The 22,863-nt window shown below is 40.4% G+C and overlaps 2 protein-coding genes and 1 long non-coding RNA gene across 14 annotated transcripts in view, besides 2 other annotated features; 1 reads left to right on the top strand and 2 right to left on the bottom strand.

The window, feature by feature from the left end:
• Positions 1 to 22,863, bottom strand: part of P3R3URF-PIK3R3 (P3R3URF-PIK3R3 readthrough) — a 136,349-nt gene that overhangs the window by 5,159 nt on the left and 108,327 nt on the right. Inside the window, exons 4-9 of the mRNA NM_001303427.2 lie at positions 21,613 to 21,793; positions 20,756 to 20,881; positions 16,631 to 16,773; positions 10,497 to 10,673; positions 1,253 to 1,327; positions 620 to 790 (exon numbers count right to left, since the gene is read on the bottom strand). Of these exons, the coding sequence (NP_001290356.1) occupies positions 620 to 790; positions 1,253 to 1,327; positions 10,497 to 10,673; positions 16,631 to 16,773; positions 20,756 to 20,881; positions 21,613 to 21,793 (873 nt within the window). The remainder of the gene's footprint in view (positions 1 to 619; positions 791 to 1,252; positions 1,328 to 10,496; positions 10,674 to 16,630; positions 16,774 to 20,755; positions 20,882 to 21,612; positions 21,794 to 22,863) is intronic.
• The window catches only part of PIK3R3 (phosphoinositide-3-kinase regulatory subunit 3), a 134,762-nt gene that overhangs the window by 5,159 nt on the left and 106,740 nt on the right, over positions 1 to 22,863 (bottom strand). For 9 of the 12 annotated variants that reach the window (NM_001328648.1, NM_001328649.1, NM_001114172.1 and 6 more), the window contains 6 exons: positions 21,613 to 21,793; positions 20,756 to 20,881; positions 16,631 to 16,773; positions 10,497 to 10,673; positions 1,253 to 1,327; positions 620 to 790 (listed from right to left, as the gene is read on the bottom strand). In NM_001328648.1, coding sequence (NP_001315577.1) covers positions 620 to 790; positions 1,253 to 1,327; positions 10,497 to 10,673; positions 16,631 to 16,773; positions 20,756 to 20,881; positions 21,613 to 21,793 — 873 coding nt within the window. The remainder of the gene's footprint in view (positions 1 to 619; positions 791 to 1,252; positions 1,328 to 10,496; positions 10,674 to 16,630; positions 16,774 to 20,755; positions 20,882 to 21,612; positions 21,794 to 22,863) is intronic. The other 3 variants (NR_137329.2, NM_001303429.2, NM_001328652.2) reach the window with 3 other exon arrangements.
• On the top strand, positions 6,931 to 8,631 carry LOC124904171 (uncharacterized). Its single transcript, XR_007066061.1, has 3 exons — positions 6,931 to 7,056; positions 7,707 to 7,849; positions 8,522 to 8,631. It is a non-coding gene; the product is annotated as an uncharacterized LOC124904171 (long non-coding RNA).
• Positions 16,744 to 17,943: an enhancer, noted in NCBI's record as "MED14-independent group 3 enhancer chr1:46527714-46528913 (GRCh37/hg19 assembly coordinates)". NCBI's record gives its function as "activates an origin of replication core promoter dependent on BRD2, BRD4, P300/CBP and CDK7 cofactors, and independent of MED14, by STARR-seq in HCT116 cells {active_cell/tissue: HCT116}" and the evidence as "EXISTENCE:reporter gene assay evidence [ECO:0000049][PMID:35650434]".
• Positions 20,296 to 20,345: an enhancer, noted in NCBI's record as "active region_990". NCBI's record gives its function as "activates an Ori minimal core promoter by ATAC-STARR-seq in GM12878 lymphoblastoid cells {active_cell/tissue: GM12878}" and the evidence as "EXISTENCE:reporter gene assay evidence [ECO:0000049][PMID:35858748]".

The raw sequence follows: 22,863 nt of genomic DNA on the forward strand, positions 1-22,863 counted from the left end.
CTTTTGTCAGTGAAGATGTTTGCCTTCTTAAAGAATATATTCCACACTCAGGCAAAAATCTGACTGAAGCACAGTTAGTTATCCCCAAAATTTCACTTTCCATTAAAAGGAAAATAGGCTTTTCTCAAAAAAGTCACGATTATCTTATGGAAAACACGCCCACATTTCCTGTCACTACATCAACAGAATAATATGTAATTTAAAATTTTAGATAGAGTTTTCCTTCTGAAGTAAAAACAGTTCTATTTAATCAAGCTTTTCCTAATCTGACACTGGAGACCATACTAGACATATAGGATACTACTAAACAATTAAGTGCTTTTTTTTTTTTTTTTTTTTTTTTTTTCAATTTAAGATCTCACATTACCTTTCACAGACACCTGAAATCCAACAGCAATACTGCGGGGCCTAATCTACTTACCACGTAAATTAAAACTCCAAGATAATTTCAGATATCATTTCTCATAAAGCTGGGTTTTTTTGTACTAATAGTTATGGTCCGAGCCATGGGTCCTCGTTACTGTACATTAACTAATTTCATCTGAATTTTATGAGGGGTTGATTTTATAATAATTGATGCAAAAGATTTCAAAAGGTTATATCCCCAGAGAAGACTTACACCACAGAGCAAGCATAGCATCCTTTCTTGCTACTCTCACGAATTAAGAATGCACCATCAGGTTTCCCATAAAGCAAGTCCTCTGCTTGTACTCGATTGATATCCTCAACAAACCAGGTTTTCTCATCATAATGGGGCAGGTTTTCATCTTCCTCATTGATAAAATAGTTCCTAAAAATTAAATATTAGTATATTATTCTAACAAGTTACTTCTATCTAAAAGCAAATTCATAAATAAAACACTCTTCTAAATCTTTAAACCACAAATAACAAAGCAAAATTGCAATTATTTGGGTGTTAACTTCATTACTTGCTATGGTGCATAAAGCAAAGAATTCATGTTTCATCCAATAAGCTGAAATATGAACATCTGAATAAAAGTGCTTTTACATCCAGATTTTGGGTAGCTATACTCAAAGTAGCTTACACATCCAGATTTTGAGTTCAGAAGCAGGTCTCTGAACTCCAGTGCCTATAGGGTACCTTCAGGCAATTCAATTCAAAAGATAGTCAAAGTTCTAGATTCAATGTCCTCAAGTGACAATGACAACCAATATTTACCACGTATAAACAAGGCGCATGTCTTATATTGATAACAAAGCCCTCTGACAGAAAGGTATAGAGAGAACTTACTCATCAGCATCCTCATTCTTAATTCCCAGCCAGACATTCAGGCGTTTCTGTCTCACTCCTTTGTGATTGAGCCATCTGCCAGAGGAAAGACACCAGTGTCAGTATCCATGCAAACTCTGACTGGACAAAGTAGGTATGTCTGAGCCAACTAAACTTCTAGAGTCTAGACACCTCTTGTTTTTCCTAATCCCACAGAATGGGCAAAGATTTCCCAAAATTAGTCTCTCGATTACTTTTCTTTCAACTACTATCAAGATGAACTGATCTTTTCCAGAAAAAGGCAGAAACATAGAGGGCTACTTGAAATTAGGCCCTTCACTTTTCATTTTTCTTTTCTGGAGGATGTGCCACCACAAGCACACACATACTCGCACTCACAGTGGGACATTTGTTTCTGAAAACATTAGGTTAGCATGGTGTCACATTTGCAATCTCCACTAAGCCTGAGGACACACTTCCTGTGTGACCTACTGAATTGAGTTTAATATTTTAACTAAAAACTTCAAGATCTATTTTTGCATTTAAGCAGGCCACAAGAAATTCAGGGTGGCAATCTGAGTAATTAATATGAGTGAACTTCATTACCAAGAAAATCATAGTATCCAAGCCGGGCGCGGTGGCTCATGCCTGTAATCCCAGCACTTTGGGAGGCCAAGGCAGGTGGATCACCTGCGGTCAGCAGTTTGAGACCAGCCTGGCCAACATAGTGAAACCCCGTTTCTACTAAAAATACAAAAATTAGCCAAGTGTGGTAGTGCATGCCTGTAATCCCAGCTACTAGGGAGGCTGAGGCAGGAGAATTGCTTGAAACCAGGGGGTGGAGGCTGTAGTGAGCTGAGATTGTACCACTGCCCTCCAGTGTGGGCGACAGAACGAGACTCCATCTCAAAAAAAAAAAAAAGAAAGAAAGAAAGAAAAGAAAAAATCATAGTATCTTAAAATGTGCTAGTATTTTAAATGTAAAATGAGGTAAACCAGCACACTTTGTTCCTTTCAGATGGCCAATAGTCTAAAACTAGAGTGGAGTGGAAAGCATCTTCGTTCATCATTACCCACCAAGCAAGGCTCCTATCATTCAGGTTTCATCATCAACACCATCCCCTCAGGGAGGACTATCCTAACTGTCCCAACTAAGGCAGTCCCCAGTCACTCTCTACACTTTACCTTGTTTTATCATCTTCATAGCACTTAGCTAAAATCCATTATTTTATATTTTTGTTTGTTTGGTTGGTTGGTTGGGGTTTTTTTGAGACGGACTCTCACTCTGTCACCTAGGCTGGAATGCAATGGCACAATCTCGGCTCACTGCAACCTCCATCTCCAGGGTTCAAGCAATTCTCTCACCTCTGCCTCCAGGGTAGCTGGGACTACAGTCACGCGCCACCATGCCCAGCTAATTTTCGTATTTTTAGTACAGACAGGGTTTCACCATGTTGGTCAGGCTGGTCTTGAACTCCTGGCCTCAGGTGATCCGCCCATCTTGGCCTCCCAAAGTGCTGGGATTACAGGCATGAGCCACCGTGCCAGGCCTATTTTATATTTGTATTTGTTTATGTCTGTCTCCCCAATAAAATGTAAGCTGCTGTAATGAAAGTGGTCTGTCCTGTTCATGGCTATGTTGCCAATTATTAAAACAGCACATGCACATAGACATTCAATTGTCAGTAAATATTTGCTGGTGGGCTGCTTTTAACAAAATCTTCACAACTCCAGGATCATCCTGTATCTCCCCAAGTATACAAGATAACTTGGCATCACACCTAATTTTAAAGTTCTGTTAGACAGATTTCACAGTCTTTCTCAGTAAGAATTGCCCTTTAGTTAACTTGGATTTCATTTTTTATTCTTAGCAAAACTGGAAAATAGATAATATGTGATCTTGATACAACTGATTTAGTAACAAACCCCCTCCCCCACACCATCGCGTCTGTCATCAAAATATCCAGATGCCCTCCTCTAAGCATTCTTATCACCCAAAGTTTTCTATCCTTAAAGAAACTGACCTTCTCTTTATCAAAGAAATATGCACACTGGGTAAAAAAGTGTGAGTTGAATGAATGCACGACATTTTCTCTTGAATCCCCATTTTCTTTTAACCACCAACCTCTTTAAACTGAGCCTCCCTTTCTGCCACACACAATGTTAGGAACTCATTTCCTAACACTTTCCTAATTGAAAAAAAAAAGAAAAAGAAAAATTGCTTTTGCTCCACCCTCCATTTATGATGGTGCCTACCTTCTGACTTAGGCAACTTTTCCAATCTCCTAAAAGTCCATTTCAAAGACTTATCTAGTTCTGAGTCCTTACAAACCTATTAACAATGCCAGGAGTTGATTAGATTTTAAAAACCATTTTCAAAAACCTCAAATAGCTTTAGTAAATACGTTAATTCACATTTAATGTTATCGAATCATGCACTGATCACAAATAGATGCAATAAATTCTACAGGAAAAATCTGAGGCAAAACATTCAAAGACCTAACATCCAGCTCTGATTCTGTTGGTGTGGTAATTGGGTTGTAAAACCAATTAGATTTTTAGAAAAGATACTATATATACATATTTTTTGGCATGGTCTTGGACCCATCTCTCTTTGGCCCAGCAATCTCTTCTTAAAAAAAAAAAAAAAGGAAAATACTACTTCCATAGATTAAAAATAGCTGGTGTTAGCATATCTTTTCCTAGCCCTACCCCAGCAAGTAAGGGAAAAAATATGTATTATATAGTGTCCTTTCTAAAGATCTAATTGGTTTTACAGCCCAACTACCACACTTTAAGAAGAGAGTTTGTGTTTCAGTCTAAGACAAAAGGATTAAGCTGGGAAGCCCCTGAGAGAGAAGGACAGGAGAAACGACTTTGAAGCTGACGCCTTCGTCCTGGAAGAAAGCAGAAGCTTAGAGCCTGGCTGAAGTAGAAAACGGGGTGACAGAAAACGGTGCCTCAGGCACAGGGCATCCTGGATGGAGAATGAGGTTTTAAGATGCAGCATCTGTTGGTAGCCAGTGATGAGATTACTGTGAAGGACACCTTGGAATTTTCTAAAATAGCCAGATGGCAAGACCCAATGATTAGGCAGAGGAGCACCCAATGACAGCAGTCAAGAGGGAGGCACAAAGGACTTTGTGCTCCTCTAATTTTCTGGCACTACTTCAGGATGACATTCTTACATGATCCAAGTGTCAGTCTGTGTAGGAGGTATGAATGATAACAGAGATCAAATATTTTTAATGTAACCAGGCCAGTGGGAGCTTGGAATAAATTTAATTAAAAAAAAAAATGAGGAATGGAGCTGGACGCAGTGGTTCATGCCTGTAATCCCAGCACTTTGGGAGGCCAAGGCAGGAGGATCACCTGAGATCAGGAGTTCGAGACCAGGCTGGCTAACATGGTGAAACCCCGTTCCTACTAAAAATACAAAAAATTAGCCAGGCATGGTGGCGCACGCCTGTAATCCCAGCTACTTGGGAGGCTGATGCAGGAGAAGTGCTTGAACCTGGGAGGCAGAGGTTGCAGTGAGCCGAGATCGTGCCATTGCACTCCAGCTTGGGCAACAAGAGTGAAACTCTGTCTCAAAAAAAAAAAAAAAAAAATGAGGAATGAAACTTGTCTTCCACCAAATTTTATGGACAGACATATTCTCTACATAAAAACAAAGTGGGATAACATATACAATACTTTAAAAAGAAAAATCACTTATAAAAATTTAGTTATCAGAAATATATTAAAGAATGAAGCCAGGTGCGGTGGCTCATGCCTGTAATCCCAGCACTTTGGGAGGCTGAGGGAGGTGGATCACCTGAGGTCAGGAGTTCGAGACCAGCCTGGCCAACATGGTGAAACCCCATCTCTACTAAAAATACAAAAATTAGCTGGAGGTGGTGGTATGCGCCTATAATCCCAGCTACTCAGGAGGCTGAGGCAAGAGAATTGCTTGAACCCAGGAGGCAGAGGTTGCAGTGAGCCAAGATTGCACCATTGCACTCCAGCTTGGGCAACAAGAGCGAAAATCTGTCTCAAAAAAAGAAAAGAAATGTATTAAAGAATGATTCATTACTTTAAGAAACCCCAATTATCACTACTGGTGTGAATGTAAAATAGTGCAACCACTACACAATGATAATTACCATATGATCCAGGAATTTCACTCCTCAGCATATACCCATGAAAAATGAAAATACACATCCATCCAAAAACCTGTACATAAATGTTCACAGCAGCATTACTGAAATAGCCAAAAAGACAGAAACAACCCAAATGTCCACCAACTGATGATGATTAAACAAAATGTGGTATAACTATACAACAGACTATTATTTGGCCATAAAAAGGAATGAAATACTGACATACGCAGACAAACTTTGAAAACACCATGCTAAGTGAAAGAAGCCAGTCACAAAAGAGTACATTTTACATTATTTTCATTCATATGAAATGTCCAGAATAGACAAATCCATAGACACAGAAAGTGGATTAGCGGTTGTTTAGGGCTAAATGAAAGAGGTGATAGGGATGTTAAGTAAACAGTGCAGGGTTTTTTTTAAGGTGATGAAAATGTTCTAAAATATGTGGTGATGACAAAATACCTGTGAACATACTAAAAACATTGAATAATACACTTTAAATGGGTGAACTGTATGCGATGTAAACTGTATCTCAATAAAGTTGTAAAAGCAAAAAATAAAACCAGAACACAGCACCCTCCACAGAACTTTTTTTTCTTTTTTTTTTAATACAGAGTCTCATTCTGTTGCCCAGGCTAGAGTGCAGTGGGGCGATCTCAGCTCACTGCAACCTCCACCTCCCGGGTTCAAGCAATTCTCCTGCCTCAGGCTTCCCACTAGCTGGGATTACAGGCATGCGCCACCATGCCTGACTAATTTTTGTATTTTTAATAGAGACAGGGTTTCACCATGTTGGCCAGGCTGGTCTCGAACTCCTGACCTCAGGTGATCCACCTGCCTCAGCCTCCCAAAGTGCTGGGATTACAGGTGTGAGCCACTGCACCCGGCCACATAGAACTAACTCCTTTATCTGCAAACTCCCCTATATATATATTACTCAAAACTCATCAATTCCCTAAGCAGAATATGCATCAAAAAACCCATCATCATTATGTACCTATATTGTTATGGCCGTTATTATTTTAAATTTATGAATTTTGGTTTATGAATACTGTAGCCCCTGCTTATCCATGGGGAATAGTTCCAAGACAACCAAATAGATGCCTGAAAGCAGACAGTACTAAACCCTATATATACTGTTTTTTCCTACACATACATACCTGTGATCATTTAATTTATAAATTAAGCATAGTAAGGGATTAACAAAAACAAATAATACACTTTGGGAGGCCGAGGCAGGCGGATCACAAGGTCAGGAGATTGAGACCATCCTGGCTAACACAGTGAAACCCCATCTCTACTAAAAAAATAAAAAAATTAGCTGGGCATGGTGGCAGGCGCCTGTAGTCCCAGCTACTCGGGAGGCTGAGGCAGGAGAATGGCGTGAACCCGGGAGGCGGAGCTTGCAGTGAGCTGAGATCGCGCCACTGCACTCCAGCCTGAGTGACAGAGTGAGACTCCATCTCAAAAAAAAAATTAAATAAAATAAATAACTAAGAATAAAATAGAACAATTATAACAATATGCTGGAATAAAAGTTATGTGAATGTGGTCTCTCAAAATGTCTTATTGTGCTGTATTCACCTATCTAGACTGTGGCTGACTGGGGATACCAGAAAACACGGAAAGCAAAACCGCAGTAAGCAAAACCATGGACCAAGGGGGACTACAATACCAAAAAAGGTAAATGGTAATCATGAAAGCTAGCCTTAACTCATGAGGAAAAAGAATTGCATATTAACAACAAAATTCCTTTTTTTGAAAAGGAATTTTTTAAAAAATTGATACCTAAGAAATTTTTAATGTATTTATTGAGTTATAATACACATAAAGCACATTAATCTTAAGTGTACTGATAAATTTCTACCTATGTATAAACCCATGGAACCCCACTCATATCAAGATTCGAACATTTCTAGAACCCTTAAAGGCTCCTCATCCCATTTTCCCATCAAAACCCCCACCATAAATAATCACTATTTTTAATTCTATCATCATAGATAGGTTTTACCTATTCTTGAGCTTCCAGTAAATGGAATAATATCCTAGAATTTTTTTTCTATATTTAAGCAATGAAATTCTGTATTTAAACACTCAAGAATATCCTACTAGTAGTACACCAAGCTCTCAGCAGACAATCACATAGAATCCTTGTGGGCTATGGAGTGGCCAGTCAAGGAAATGACCACATCCAAAGAGGGCTTAAAGAACTAATGACAGTCTTTAGGTAGGTATCACAGAATTCCACCCTATTCCTTTAAAACAAGACCAGAGAGAGATCATACTCAGTATCATGCAGCAATGCTAATATGAGACACGTATTTTACTACCAGTCTTCTTCAGGACCGACTATACAAATTCCAGCATTAGAATAGATCAAATCCACCAAGCCCAGAGACAATTCTCTGTTAGAAACATCAAAGCATGGACCATGGGACACTGAACTATTCTCCTGGAAGCAGCCCTTCCAAAAGAGGTAATGGCTGTCTGTGTCTCCCTACACTTCTGAGTTGTCCTTACTTGTAGGTTATGAATTTGTCATCCATGATGTTATCTAAACTCTTATATTTGTTGTTGTTGTTGTGGTGTCACTGTTTTGTTTTCTGTGGTTTTTTTTGGTGTGTATGGTTTTTGTTGTCTTTTTTTGCTGTTGTTTTCTTTCTGTCTTCTGTATTTAGTTTATACAACCCATTAAAGAAACTTCCAAGGTCTGGTTTGCCACATGCTATATAGTCTGAATGTTAGTATCTTCCCAAAATTCATAGGTTGAAAATCTAACACTCAAGGTGACGGTATTAGGAGGTGAGGACTTTGGGAGGTGATTAGGTCATAAAGGCAGAGCCCTCATGAATGGAATTAGTGCCCTTATAAAAGAGGCCTGATAGAGACCCCCTAGCTCCTTCTACCAGGACATAGGTAGAAGGTGCCATCTATGAACCAGAAAGCAGATCCTCACCCCTCACCAGACACCAAATCTGCCAGTGCCTTGAGTTCGGACTTCCTAGCCTCTAGAACTGTGAGAAATTTCTGGTATTTACAAACTACCCAATTTATGATTTTTTTTATAGCAGCCTAAACAGACTAAGACACCACACTTATTCACGCCCCTTGGGATGGTATATTCCTTGTATTTCTTATTGCTTTTCAGGGCAAAGAAGGACTTCCATTCATTGTTTTGGTGTATAGCATAGCCTTTTTGAGCCTTTCTTCAGCTTCATGATGTGACCAGAACCACGTGAGCATTCCAAGAGCAGACACACCCCATTTACAGATAAGAGCACCCTCCTTGCCTTGTTTACAAAGCTCTTCAGTATGCTATATACACTTGGCTTGACTTTTGGCCACAATAGCAAACTAAAATGATCTCTTGAGAGAGCTGGTATTAAAAACTACTCAGCATGGTGTAGTTGTAATTGTTTACCCCAAGAAATATCACCTTAGGCTGGGTACAGTAGCTCATGCCTATAATCCCAGTACTTTAGGAGGCCAAGGTGGGTACATCACCTAAGGTCTGGAGCTTAAGACCAGCTTGGTCAACATGGTGAAACCCCATCTCTACTAAAAATACAAAAATTAGCTGGGCATGGTGGTGCATGCCTGTATTCCCAGCTACTCGGAAGGCTGATGTAGGATAATCACTTGAACCCAGGAGGTGGAGGTTGCAGTGGGAGCTGAGATTGTGCCATTGCACTCCAGCCTGGGTGACACAGTGAGACTCCGCCTCACAAAAAAAAAAAAAAAAAAAAAAAATCACCTTAAATCTTCCTCTACTGAAACTCTTCTGCCACAGTTCCAATCTCTAGGTGTATATTTCATCCTCTCCCTCTTTCTCACACAAAGAACCCTGAAGTCTATGGAAAACCCAGATTCAGAGGTCTCTGCTCTGTCTTCTCCTGCCAGTAGTTTGAATTGAGTGGTGTTACATGCATCAAGGTCACCCATAGATGCATTTCAAAACAGTCTATTCGTTACCCAGAACTAAGCCCAATATCCAGGATCTTCCTTTCTCATGCATTCTGTCCTATGAAGCAGTTATTTATGTTTCTAAAAATATAATTCACACATTTTATTCTGATACTATCTTTCCATTTATATTTGTATATTATCTCTATTATGCCTATATTTGGCTAAATTATATAGTTTTCCCTCATACTAAAGAATTAGGTTTCACTACTCAAATTACCTCAAGTGCCTTCTATAGATACATTTCTGTTATTTAAATAAAGAATGTCATTTTGTTTTTGTTGTTGTTTTTGAGACTCACTCTGTTGCCCAGGCTGGAGTGCAGTGGCACGATCTCGGCTCACTGCAACCTCTGCCTCCCAGGTTCAAGCGATTCTCCTACCTCAGCCTCCCAAGTAGCTGGGATTACAGGCGCCCACCACTATGCCCAGCTAATTTTTTGTATTTTTAGTACAGACAGGGTTTCACCATCTTTTTTTTTTTTTTTTTCCCAGATGGAGTCTCACTCTGTCACCCAGGCATGGAGTGCAGTGGCGTGATCTCGGCTCACTGCAACCTCCGCCTCCAGGGTTCAAGTGATTCTCCTGCCTCAGCCTCCTGAGTAGCTGGGATTACAAGAATGTGCCACCACGCCCAGCTAATTTTGTATTTTTAGTAGAAACGGAGTTTCACTATGTTGGCCAGGCTGGTGTCTCGAACTCCGGACCTCAGATGATCTGCCTACCTCGGCCTCCCAAAGTGCTGGGGTTACAGGCGTAAGCCACAGTGCCCAGCCTAGAACCTACTTCCCCTCAGAGGAAATAGAAATTCCCCACTCAGTTCTAGTATGTAAACAAAGATTCTGATTTTTATGTTTTAGGCAAACATTAATCTGTTCTTGTTAAGATATAGCATTTTACTCATGCCACAGCCAGCCTCTGAGATTTCCAAGGCATTTGTATGGATCAAGAGTCCTACATTCTGGTTTGCTCCACATATTAACTTCAGATTAACTCTGGTACCCCCTACAACTACCAAGGACACTTTCCTAAATTCTTACCATCTTACTGGCCAATTCTCAATTACAAATCTCTAATCTCTTCTTCCACCTCTAGTGTCTCTAGTGCTGGTAGTAACCTGGCACTAACGTCTCCCTCCCCATACACTCCCAGACTACTTACACAAGGTGTTGATCTCGGATCTTTCGCAGCTGGATCAGGTCAGGTTTGATGCTATTCATTTTTTTATCTATTTCTCGGTTGTCCAAAGCTTGATTCTTCAAATCCTGCTCTAGACGCATTTTGCTATCATGAATCTCACCCAGACGTGATTTCAATTTATCATAATTCATCATAATTCTGTAAAAATATTTGACATGTTAAGGCTAAAATAGAAATCAAGCAGACAGATCCTACTGGGTGAGCACGGTCCTAATATCCTTTTTTTTTTTCCCTTGAGATTGAGTCTCGCTCTGTCACCCAGGCTGGAGTGTAGTGGCATGATCTCGGCTCACTGCAACCTCCGCCTCCCGGGTTCAAGCAATTCTCCTGCCTCAGCCTCCCCAGTAGCTGGGATTACAGGCGCATGCCACCACACCCGGCTAATTTTTGTATTTTTAGTAGAGATGGGGTTTTGCCATGTTGACCAGGCTGGTCTCAAACTTCTAACCTCAGGTGATCTGCCTGCCTCAGTCTCCCAAAGTACTGGGATTACAGGCGTGAGCCATTGCACCCAGTGAGGTCCTAATATCTTAAGCGTGGTGAACATTTGTTTTTGCCTGGCCCATATCCATTCCCATTTCTGGTATTAGCACCCTGATGTTCCCTGGAGGTAAGGATTCATTCCCCCGTCTCAGATCCAGGGATGGAAACACACATGGCCCAGACTGGCCAATAAGAATATTCCACTCTATCCCATCCCTACCCTCAGGCCACAGTGACGGTTCAGGAATAGGAATAAAACTCAAACTGACCCAATGAGAGTCAATTCTAGAACATTTGCTAGAACTGTATTGTTAAAATAAATTCTCTCTTTCCACACAAATTGCTAAATTATGAATATGCAGTTCTCATCCCAGCAGCTATACTGTCACTTCACCGGCAATGCCTGCCTGAGGATAAAATCAACCCAGAGAAAAACTGAGCCAAAATACAACATGAGAGAGAATCCCAATAACCTTGTTTGGGCCCTGAATCCAGCAATGACTGAACAAGTAAAGCTATACATTTGATATTCCAGAGGTAGCATAACACAACAGTTAAGAACAATGGTTTTGCAATTAGCCTACCTACATCTGAATCTCTGCTGTCACTTGCTGTGGGGCCATGGGCAAGTTATTTAACTTCTCAGTGCCTTCATTTCCTCATCTGTTTAAAATGGTGATATGGTTTGGCTGTGCCCTCACCCAAATCTCATCTTGAATTGTACTCCCATAATTCCCACATGTTGTAGGAAGGACCCGGGAATAGATAACTGAATCATGGGGGCGGTTCCCCCATACTGTTCTCGTGGTAGTGAATAGGTCTCACAAGATCTGATGGTTTTATCAGGGGTTTCTGCTTTTGCATCTTCCTCATTCTCTCTTTGCCTGCTGCCATCCATGTAAGACGGGACTTGCTCCTCTCCTTGCCTTCCACCATGATTGTGAGGCTTCCCAAGCCACGTGGAACTGTAAGCCTAATTAAGCCTCTTCCTTTTGTAAATTGCCCTGTCTTGGGTATTTCCTTATCAGCAGCATGAAAACGGACTAATTTAGTAAATTAGTACTAGTAGAATGGGGCACTGCTGAAAAGATACCCGAAAATGGGGAAGTGACCTTAAAACTGGGTAACAGGCAGAGGTTGGAACAGTTTGGAGGGCTCAGAAGAAGACAGGAAAATGTGGGAAAGTTTGGAACTTCCTAGTGTTGAATGGCTTTGCCCAAAATGCTGATAGTCATATGGACAATAAGGTCCAGGCTGAGGTGGTCTCAGATGGAGATGAGGAACTTGTTGTGAACTGGAGCAAAGGTGACTCTTGTTACGTTTTAGCAAAGAGATTGATAGCATTTTGCCCCTGCCCTAGAGATTTGTGGAACTTTGAACTTGAGGGAGATGATTTAGGATATCTGGCGGAAGAAATTTCTAAGCAGCAAAGCATTCAAGAGGTGACGTGGGTGCTCTTAAAAGCATTCAGTTTTAAAAGAGAAACAGCATAAAAGTTTGAAAAATTTGCAGCCTGACAATGCAATAGAAAATAAAATTCCATTTTCTGAGGAGAAATTCAAGCCGGCTGCAGAAATTTGCATAAGTAACAAAAAGCCAAAAGTTAATCCCCAAGACAATGGGGGAAATGTCTTCAGGGCATGTCAGAGGTCTTCAAGGCAGCCCCTCCCATCAAGCCCTGGAGGCCTAGAGGAAAAAGGAGTTTCGTGAGCTGGGCCCAGGGTCCCTGAGCTGTGTGCAGCCTAGAGACTTGGTGCCCTGCGTCCTAGCCACTCCAGCCATGGCTGAAAGGGGCCAACATAGGGCTCAGGCCATGGATTCAGATGGTACAAGCCCCAAGTCTTGGCAGCTTCCATGTGGCATTGAGCCTGCAGGTGCACAGAAGTCAAGAATTGGGAACCTCCACCTAGATTTCAGACGTATGGAAACACCTGGATGCCCAGGCAGAAGTTTGCTGCAGGGGCGGGGCTCTCATGGAGAACCTCTGCTGGGGCAGTGTGGAAGGGAAATGCGGGGTCGAAGCCGCCACACAGAGTTCCTACTGGGGCACCGCCTAGTGGCACTGTGAGAAGAAGGCCACTGTCCTCCAGACCCCAGAATTGTAGATTCATTGACAGCTTACACCGTGTGCCTGGAAAAGCCGCAGACACTCAAGGCCACCCTGTGAAAGCAGCCAGGAGGGAGGCTGTACCCTGCAAAGCCACAGGGGCGGAGCTGCCCCAGACCATGGGAACCCATCTCTTGCGTCAGCATGTCCTGGATGTGAGACATGGAGTCAAAGGAGACCATTTTGGAGCTTTAAGATTTGACTGTCCTGCTGGATTTCAGACTTGCATGGACCCTGTAGCCCCTTTGTTCTGGCCAATTTCTTCCATTTGGAACAGGTGTATTTACCCAATGTCTGTACCCCCACTGTATCTAGGAAATAACTAGCTTGCTTTTGATTTTACAGGCTTATAGGCAGAAGAGACTTGCCTTGTCTCAGATGAGACTTTGGACTGTGGACTTTTGAGTTAATGCTGAAATGAGTTAAGACTTTGGGGGACTGTTGGGAATGCATGATTGGTTCTGAAATGTAAAGATAAAGGATTTGGGAGGGGCCAGGGGCAGAATAATATGGTTTGGCTGTGTCCCCACCCGAATCTCCTCTTGAATTGTACTCCCATAATTCCCACATGCTGTGGGAGGGACCAAGGTGAAACAACTGAATCATGGAGGCGGTTTCCCCACTACTGTTCTCATTGTAGTGAGTAAGTTTCACGAGATCTGATGGTTTTATCAGGGATTTCTGCTTTTGCATCTTCCTCATTCTCTCTTTGCCTGCTGCCATCCATGTAAGACGTGATTTGCTCTTCCTTCCCTTCCACCATGATTGTGAGGCTTCCCTAGTCACGTGGAACTGTAAGTCCAATTAAATCTCTTCTTTCTGTAAACTACCCCAGTCTCAGGTATGTCTTTATCAGCAGCATGAAAATGGACTAATACAAATGGGTACCTACAACAGTACTTACTTCACTGGGTTTTTCTGTTAATTAAATGTGACAATACATGTAAAGGACAAAAACATTCCCTGACATTATCTTGGTAAGCACGCAACAGATGACAGCTATAAGCTTTTCCAACACACAACGTTTTGCTATACTCTGAACCCTTATGGTAATGACTGTCTACATTATTCCCTTGTCACTCAATATGTGGCTTTATATTACTATTAAAACTTCATATGCTGGACACACACCTGTAATCCCAGCACTTTGGGAAGCTGAGCGGGGAGGATTGCTTGAGTCCAGGAGTTCAGGACCCCATCTCTACAAAAAGATTTTTAAAAATTAGCCAATGCAGTGGCACTTGCCTGTAGTCCTAGCAACTCGGGAGGCTGAGGCAAGTGGATCCCGTGAGCCCAGGAGGTTGAGGCTGCAGTGAGCCATGATCATGCCACTTCATTCCAGCCTGGGCAACAGAGCAAAACCCTACCTCAAAAAATAAAAAAAATTAAAAATAGGCTGGGCGCGGTGGCTCATGCCTGTAATCCCAGCACTTTGGGAGGCCAAGGCGGGCAGATCACCTGGGGTCAGGAGCTCAGGACCAGCCTGGCCAACTTGATGAAACCCTATCTCTACTAAAAATACAAAAATCAGCCGGGTGTGGTGGCATGCACCTATAATCCCAGCTACTTGGGAGGCTGAGGCAGGATAATCACTTGAACCCAGGAGGCGGAGGGTGCAGTGAGCCGAAATCGCACCACTGCACTCCAGCGTGGGCGACAGAGCGAGACTCCGTCTCAAAAATAAATAAATAAAACAAAACGTTATCATGCTACTTTACTTCCCTCTGCAACAAAACTACAAATCCTTTTCTGTTTCTTCATCGTTAATAATAATTATAATTAGGCCAGGCGCAGTAGCTCAAGCCTGTAATCCCAGCACTTTGGGAGGCCAAGGCAGGTGGATCACCTGAGGTCAGCAGTTCAAGGCCAGCCTGGCCAATTTGGCAAAACCCCATCTCTACTAAAAAGTACCAAAAATTAGCCGGGCATGGTGGGGGGTGCCTGTAATCCCAGCGACTCAGGAGGCTGAGATACAAGAATCGCTTGAACCCAGGAGACAGAGGTTGCAGTGAGCCAAGATGGCACCACTGCACTCCAGCCTGGGCAACAGAGACTCCGTCTCAAATAAATAAATAAATAAATAATTATCATTTACTGAAAGCACATCATGTGCCAGGATATATATTACTTAATTCTCTAGCATTCCAACAAGATATTATTCAGTTTATGGAAGAGAAAACAGACTGAGAAAAGTTAAGTAATTCACCCAAGTTTATACAGCTAATAAATGGCTAATTCAGAATTCAAGCCCATAGTTTTAACCATTTAAGCTACACTGCCTCACAGCACTTAGCTCTAAACTCATGCCATTAAGCTACACTGTCTCACAGCACTTTAACCATTAAGCTACACTGCCTCACAGTGCTTAGCTCTAAACTCATGCACACAGAAATACACTAATACTGTGGTCCTAATATGAGAAATAATTTTGCTTTTCCATTGCATATTAATTACTTGTATTTATTATCCACTTTAGCACTCAACCCACTATAATCTAGCTTAGTCTTCCAATACTCCACTAAATTTGCTTTGATAGGATTTCAATATCCTTTTAGTTATCAAATCCATTACTTCTCCTGCCACATCCTTTCTGTGTAATTTCATTCTTAGCATCTACCATCAACTACACACCTATGCCTCCCAAATCCTTTCTATACCAAGTTCCAAATCCAAATAATCAGCTGCCTGCCCCCTAGTGAGCTCCATTTGTGTTCTCACAGGAACCTCAAACTCACTGGTTCCAACCCTAAACTCTCCTCATGTACTTCTTATTTTGGTGAAAAACACCATCTTCCAGTCTCTCACACCAGAAATCTAGGAATAATCTTTGACTTCTCCCACACCTACCATATCTGGTCAGGCATGAAGTCCTTAGCATTCCCATGACCTCCCGCTTCTTTTCTGCTATTTCTCTAGTCCAGGCCCTCATTATCGTTTAACCTGATGACCACAACTGTTGCAGTCATGTGCAAGTCAGGCTGGTGTTCCTGCCTACAGTCTTGTTCTACTACAATTTATTCTCAGACTGCTGCCAAAGTTGATATTCAATTCAAAAAAATATTCGATGAGCACCCATTATGTACTCCCATACATAAGTAGGTACTAGGGCTACCAGGGAAAATAAGCCACCATGCCTACTCTCAATGAGTTTACAGTTGAGTGGGCGTGGCATTCAGTAAATGTTACACTAGGGATCAGGACCAGGCACTGTAGGGACCCAAAATACAGCCCCTAAATTGGTCTCCGGAATCAGGGAACAGTTTCTAGAAAAGATGATATCTAACCTGAAGTCCTAACGGATAAGCAGGAGTTTATCCGTTTGGGAGAATGAACAAAGAGCAGAGGAGAGAGGAAGTTCAATTTGGTGCCATTAGTGGAAACAGCAAGTGGTTCCAATAGTAGGGCTGTGCAGTTTGAGGGGGTAAAAGAAAACAAGACAGAAATTATTGGGGAAGAAAAGAAATCCTGTCTCACTGATGCCCTTGGAGGTACTAAGTAGACTTACCGTTCAATCTCCTTTTCATTCCCCTCTCTGCGAAATCGCTCAATATATTCTTTGCTATGTTGTTCTTGTGTGTGACACTGCTCTTCAAATATTTTAATTGTTTCATTAAAAGCTTCTATTGCAGTCCTCTTCATCTGTATTTCCTACAGGAGAGAAAAAGAAAAAACACAGGCTTCATTATCTTTATTATTTTCTTCTAACCTTGGTCTTAAACAAATTTTGTAATTCCAGTTATTAATGTAATCCCATATAACACCTAGTCTTTCAAAAGTCTTCTCCTTGTTTAGGAGGACTAAAACAAGAGCTTTTATTCAACCCCTACTCTATTACTTGTATGTAAAATACATCATTTAAACTATAAAATAGGCCAGGCGTGGTGGCTTACACCTGTGATCTCAGCACTTTGGGAGGCCGAGGCAGGCAGATCACTTGAGGTCAGGAGTTCAAGACAGCCTGGCCAACATGGCAAAACCCCGTCTCTACTAAAAATACAAAAATTAGCCAGGCGTGGTGGCGGGCGCCTGTAATCCCAGCTACTCAGGAGGCCGAGGCAGGAGAATTGCTTGAACCCGGAAGGCAGAGGTTGCAGTGAGCTGAAATTGTGCCACTGCACTCCAGCCTGGGCGACAGGGCAAGACTTTGTCTCAAAAAAACAAAAAGGCATCTGAATCACAATTCCCCAAAAATCTTCAGGTTAAATTTTGTTCAGTTTGCTTTTTAGAAAGGCAATAAATATGCATAAGGGTCTAGAAAAACTGCTGTCCTGAATGTTTACAATTCTAGAAGTTTTGATGTTTATGGGATAATTCCTACATTATCTAGCACTTACTAGGCTGGGGTGTTTGGTTTTGGTTTTGGCTTTGGTTTCGGTTTCGGTTTCAGTTTTGGTTGGTGGGTGGGTGGGTGGATTGGTTTTTTTAAAACTGTTGCCTAAGCTGGACTTGAAATCCTGGGCTTAAGGGATCATTCCACCTCAGCTTCCCAACTAGTTGAGACTTTAGGGGGGCACCACACACCTAGCTTAAGCATTTGTCACTTTCGGCAATTGATTACTGAGAATCCACTATACAGAAATTACCATCTGGTGATAGAGATTTGTGAAACGTGAAGTCTGCCCTCCAGGACTCAGAATATACAGGTGGAACAGATTTCTGAACTCTAATAAGGTTTGGTTTCATGTCATGGAAGAGGCAACCAGTTATTTATTAACTAGTTATTTATTGCTTTACAGAGACTTCACAGAGGAGGTGACACTTAAGCTAGGTCTTAAAGAACTGAGATAGAGGAAGAAAATACAGCACTGCACAAAGGAGGCATGGTATAATGTATACATAAAATAACAAGGCATGTTCAAGGATTAGTAATTGCCCAGTAGGGCTAGAACATTAGAGGATTAGCAGATGAGGGAGGCTGGAACCTTGTGATAGTCCATACAGTTAAGATTACATCATATGTATCTTAATACTAAAAAGTAACTAGAATTCCCATATGCCAAATATCTTGGTACTAATTCTACAACTCTTAAATTATAGTGGAGAGCTTTAGCTCCCTTGCCAAGTTAGAAATTACCTATAAAGTTCTGGCCCTGGATCTTCAAAGAAAACACTAATAATTTAGACTTTATTAACACTGGTAGATATATTGGTAAGTAGAACAGCAAAGGGAAAAGTATTTGATATCACTACTAAGTCAGCACCTCCCCCATCAACAATGCCACTATACCACTACACCTGCCACCAAAACTATAAACCTACCTGTTCACCTCCTCTCTTCCTTCCCCTCCCTTTATTTACATGTGCTCTGGGTCTCAGCTCCCCTTCCTTTCTGGGTACTTCACTCTATCGTATCAGCTAACCCCTTTTACATCATTAACTCTCCCAGTCTAATGGTTCCTTCTTAGCAGCATATAAACAAGCTCTGGTAACAACACTTTGAAAAAAAAGCATTCTTATTCCAAAACTCTCTTCAAATCACAGATAAGCTTCTTAAAGAGTTGTTTATGGCTGGGCACCGGTGGCTTACGCCTGTAATCCCAACACTTTGGGAGGCTGAGTCGGGTCGATCACTTCAAGTCAGGGGTTCAAGACCAGCCTGACCAACATGGCGAAATCCCATCTCTACTAAAAATACAAAAATTAGCCAGATATGGTGGTGGATGCCTGTAATCCCAGCTACTCAGGAGGCTGAGGCAAGAGAATCACTTGAATCTGGGAGATGGAGGTCACAGTGAGCCGAGATCGTGCCACTACACTCCAGCCTGGGCAATAGAGTGAGACTCTGTCTCAAAAAAATAAGTAAGTAAAATAAAAAATAAAAATAAAAAAAGAGCTGGCCAGGCACGGTGGCTCACGCCTGTAATCCCAGCACTTTGGGAGGCCGAGATGGGCGGATCACCTGAGGTCAGGAGTTTGATACCAGCCTGGCCAACATGATGAACCCCTGTCTCTACTAAAAATACAACAATTTGCCGGGCATGGTGGTGCACGCCTGTAATCCCAGCTATTCGGGAGGCTGAGGCAGGAGAATTGCTTGAACCCGGGAGGCGGAGGTTGCAGTGAGCTGAGATGGTGCCACTTCACTCCAGCCTGGGCGACAGAGCAAGATTCTGTCTCATAAAAATATCAATAATAAAATAAAATTTAGGTCAATAAATGTCAAAAGAATATAACTTTAATGAATATATTTACTAACAACAAAACTAATTTAAATTAGAAATAAATATTTGAAAGTCCCAAATATTTAGAAATTAAAAACACAAGGGGCAAAAGAAGAAATCACAAAAAATAGAAAATATTAAAAACTGAATAATAAGGAAAACAGTATGATAAAATTTGTGAGATGCATATACACAGTGCTTAAAGGAAAATGTATTGCTTTAAATGCTTATTTTAGAAAAGAGAAAGTTTTTAAACCAATGAACAAAATTTCCACCTTAAGAAGCTAGGAAAAGAGAAAATTAAACTGAAAGCAAGCAGAAAAAAATTAGAAAGAGCAGAAATTCATGAAACAGAAAGTAAACACTAAAAAAATCCATTATTGTTATCTACTAGAAAGAGCCCAAGGTAAGTTATTGTTGCACTAAGAATTCACTAGGAATTAAGTCGAATCAACATAGACTAATGCTTCTATAAATCATTTGATATTCAAAATAATAACCTGTGTTCCAAGACAATGTACATGAGAAATACAGTTAAATACATTTTCCTAAGCCACTTCTACCCAAATATTATAAAAGGTAAACTTCTCTGAAGATATTCACCTTCATCAAAATTCCAAACACTTTTGACAAACTATGTAACAACTTAGGGCAAATTAAACCAATCCAAGTCTAGCTAAAAAACAATCTAAAAAGTAGTCAGGCCTAAGAAGTCCTAGGAAAGAAACTAGATTATTCAACAGAATTTTGCTCTATATCATAAATATGAAAAGTATTACTGGCTATTAAAGTTAATGATCTAAAAACTGTGTAGCTAACTAAGTCTACTAGTAAGCCCACAATTTCCATCCATCAGCTCCTTCTTCCTCAGTAAATCCCCACATTAGCTGAACACACCTGACCAAATAAAAACTAGATTTCTCAGCCTCCCCTACAGCTAGCTGTGACCTGTAGCTAGGTATGCCCATGTGACTTAGTTCTAGCCAGTGGGATAAAAGTGAAAGCAGAGTGTGCTCCTTCTAGGAAGTTGTCTTAAAGATAGAGAACCTTCCTTTCTCCTTCCTATTCTTACTTCCTGTTTACTAGAATATGGTTGTGATGGCTGATATTAGAGTAAGCCCTCTTCCACAGATAGCAAAGCATCAAGACAGAAAATGTCTATAAGTTCTGAGGATGGTGGAGTTACCCTAACACCCCTGTAGTGCCTATATACACATGAAAGAAAACTAAATTTCTATCTGAAGCCTTTGGTTTTATTTTGTCACTTGTGACCAGTTAATATTAACTGATACAAATTATATCCTTAACCAATTAAGAAGGGAGGGGAATTTATATCATTAAAGTTTCAAAAAGGCTGTTTAAGCCTTTAAGACATTAAAACAGCTAAAGATCATCAAGTGAATGATCGAAAATTTGATGTAACTAAAACATTGCACACATATTAGTCAAAAACAACATAATATACCAACCTGGGATGTTCTAGTATATTCTTCATACAGCCTATCATACTCTTTACTCTTCTCCTGATACTGAGAGTGGTATTCTTGCAGTTTTTTACCTACTGCATCAATATTATCTTCTTTTACCAACTGATCCTATACAGGTAAAGAAAAAAATAAAGAATGTTAACAATTCTGACATATGTGGAAATAGATTTTCCACATCTATTTTTTAAAGGAAAATATCACCTCAACCATCTATTAAACTATATTTCAACTGTACAACTTTAAGCCACTGTATTAATATCAAGCACACAAATGTACCAAATCCTTTGATAATATTAAGATCAGCCTTTAAGTCACATCAAAATGATTAATACTTTAAAAATTAAGAAATGAAGTGGGAGACATAAACATAAGTATTTTTATATAAAGGTAACAAGTACATGCAATAAGATATTACAGAAGGGTAGCCACAAAATAAGTTCCAAAAATATCTAAAATCTTAAGTATGCACTAGGCGCAATGACTCATGCCTATAATCCCAACACTTTGGGTGGTCAAAGTGAGATGACTGCTTGAGCCCAGGAGTTCAAGACTAGCCTGGGCAACATGGCAAGACCCTGAAGTTGTGGCATGCACCTGTGATCCCAGCTACCGGGGAGGCTGAGGCAGGAGGACCACTTGAGCCCAGAAGGTCAAGACTGCAGTGAGCCATATTCATGCCACTGCAATCCAGCCTGGGCAACAGAGACCCTGTCTCAAAGTAAATAAATAAATAACAAAATGGCTAGTTTTTTAAAACTGATAAGCCTGGTAAATAAAATCAAATAAGGCTGTTAAATAATCACTTGCTCAATAGCTAGCAAGGATTTCCATAATCATACCTGTTGGTATCTGGACACTGGGTACATCAGCTTCACATCAAGTTTGGGATTGTACTGAGCAAGAGATTCATGGTGATAGTGGTTAATGAGCTCCACCACGGAATTAAATGTCAGAGGATCAGAAAAGCCATATTTACCATCCCGGTGATAGATCTTTATTAACTTATTATTGCCTCCCTTCCTGTGAACAACAAGACAACAACTGTGGATTTTTTTCCCCCAAATTCAACTGAACTACTGCTTTCATATGGAGACGTGAAAGCTTGGTGTCACATGATAAACAAGTTTTACTATGTTAATGAGGCTGGAAGGAGTGAAAAGGCATGTTATTCTGTGTGTGAACATATATATATATATATATATATATAATTCATTTTGCATTGTTTTGTCCATAAAATACTTTGGTTATTAAAGGTCAACATATCTACACAGCATTCAGTATGAACAAATGTAGCAAAAAAAATCACTTAAGAAAAATAAAACAGAAGTAAATTCTATTTTTGTTTATATTCTGAATGAATTTTCAAATTTAAATTCTATCAATATTTTTATCAGGAAGAACAGAAAAAATCTCTTAAGGACCTAAAGATATGTGGTTGTATGTCTCTGTGGGGGGAGCAGAAGCCATCTCTATATGAAGGGAATGATAAACATTTGTCACACAATCACCAACATACTCAAGGTTTTGTTGTTAATGCACAAACATAACTGAGCTCCTTAATCTATGATTTATAGCTGCATAATTAATCTAGAACCTTATACTATTTTGTCTTTTACACTTGCTTATAATTCTCAGAAATGACTGTTCAGGCAATCACAACATGTAAATGATTCAAGTCATTCAACTGTTTTACAAAGTATAGCTTTTGAAGAGCTATGTATATTAGATGAATGTAATTTCATGCTTGGACAGTTCAGGCCACCTTTGTTTACTGAGTCATATCTAAATGGACCCTTAAAAGATAATTTATAACTAAAGTTTAAAATAGCAATGTTTTGCAAGTCCCATAAGGCATAATCTAAAACCACAGCAGGTTGATTCATAGCAAAATGCTGTACCATTCCCATTCAACCATTCTTACAGCAGCACGCAGGCTTATGCCCCTAACTCTCTTTATGCCATGCCATTTTATATAAATAGCATTTACATAAATGACCATTTTATATAAATGACCTTTTTGTAAAAGGTCAAACACAGTAAGATTGACCCTATAAGCTGATTTAAACAATGTTTAGGTCAGTTTTTAGATG

This window comes from Homo sapiens, chromosome 1, assembly GCF_000001405.40.
Source record: "Homo sapiens chromosome 1, GRCh38.p14 Primary Assembly".
Taxonomy (NCBI): domain Eukaryota; kingdom Metazoa; phylum Chordata; class Mammalia; order Primates; family Hominidae; genus Homo; species Homo sapiens.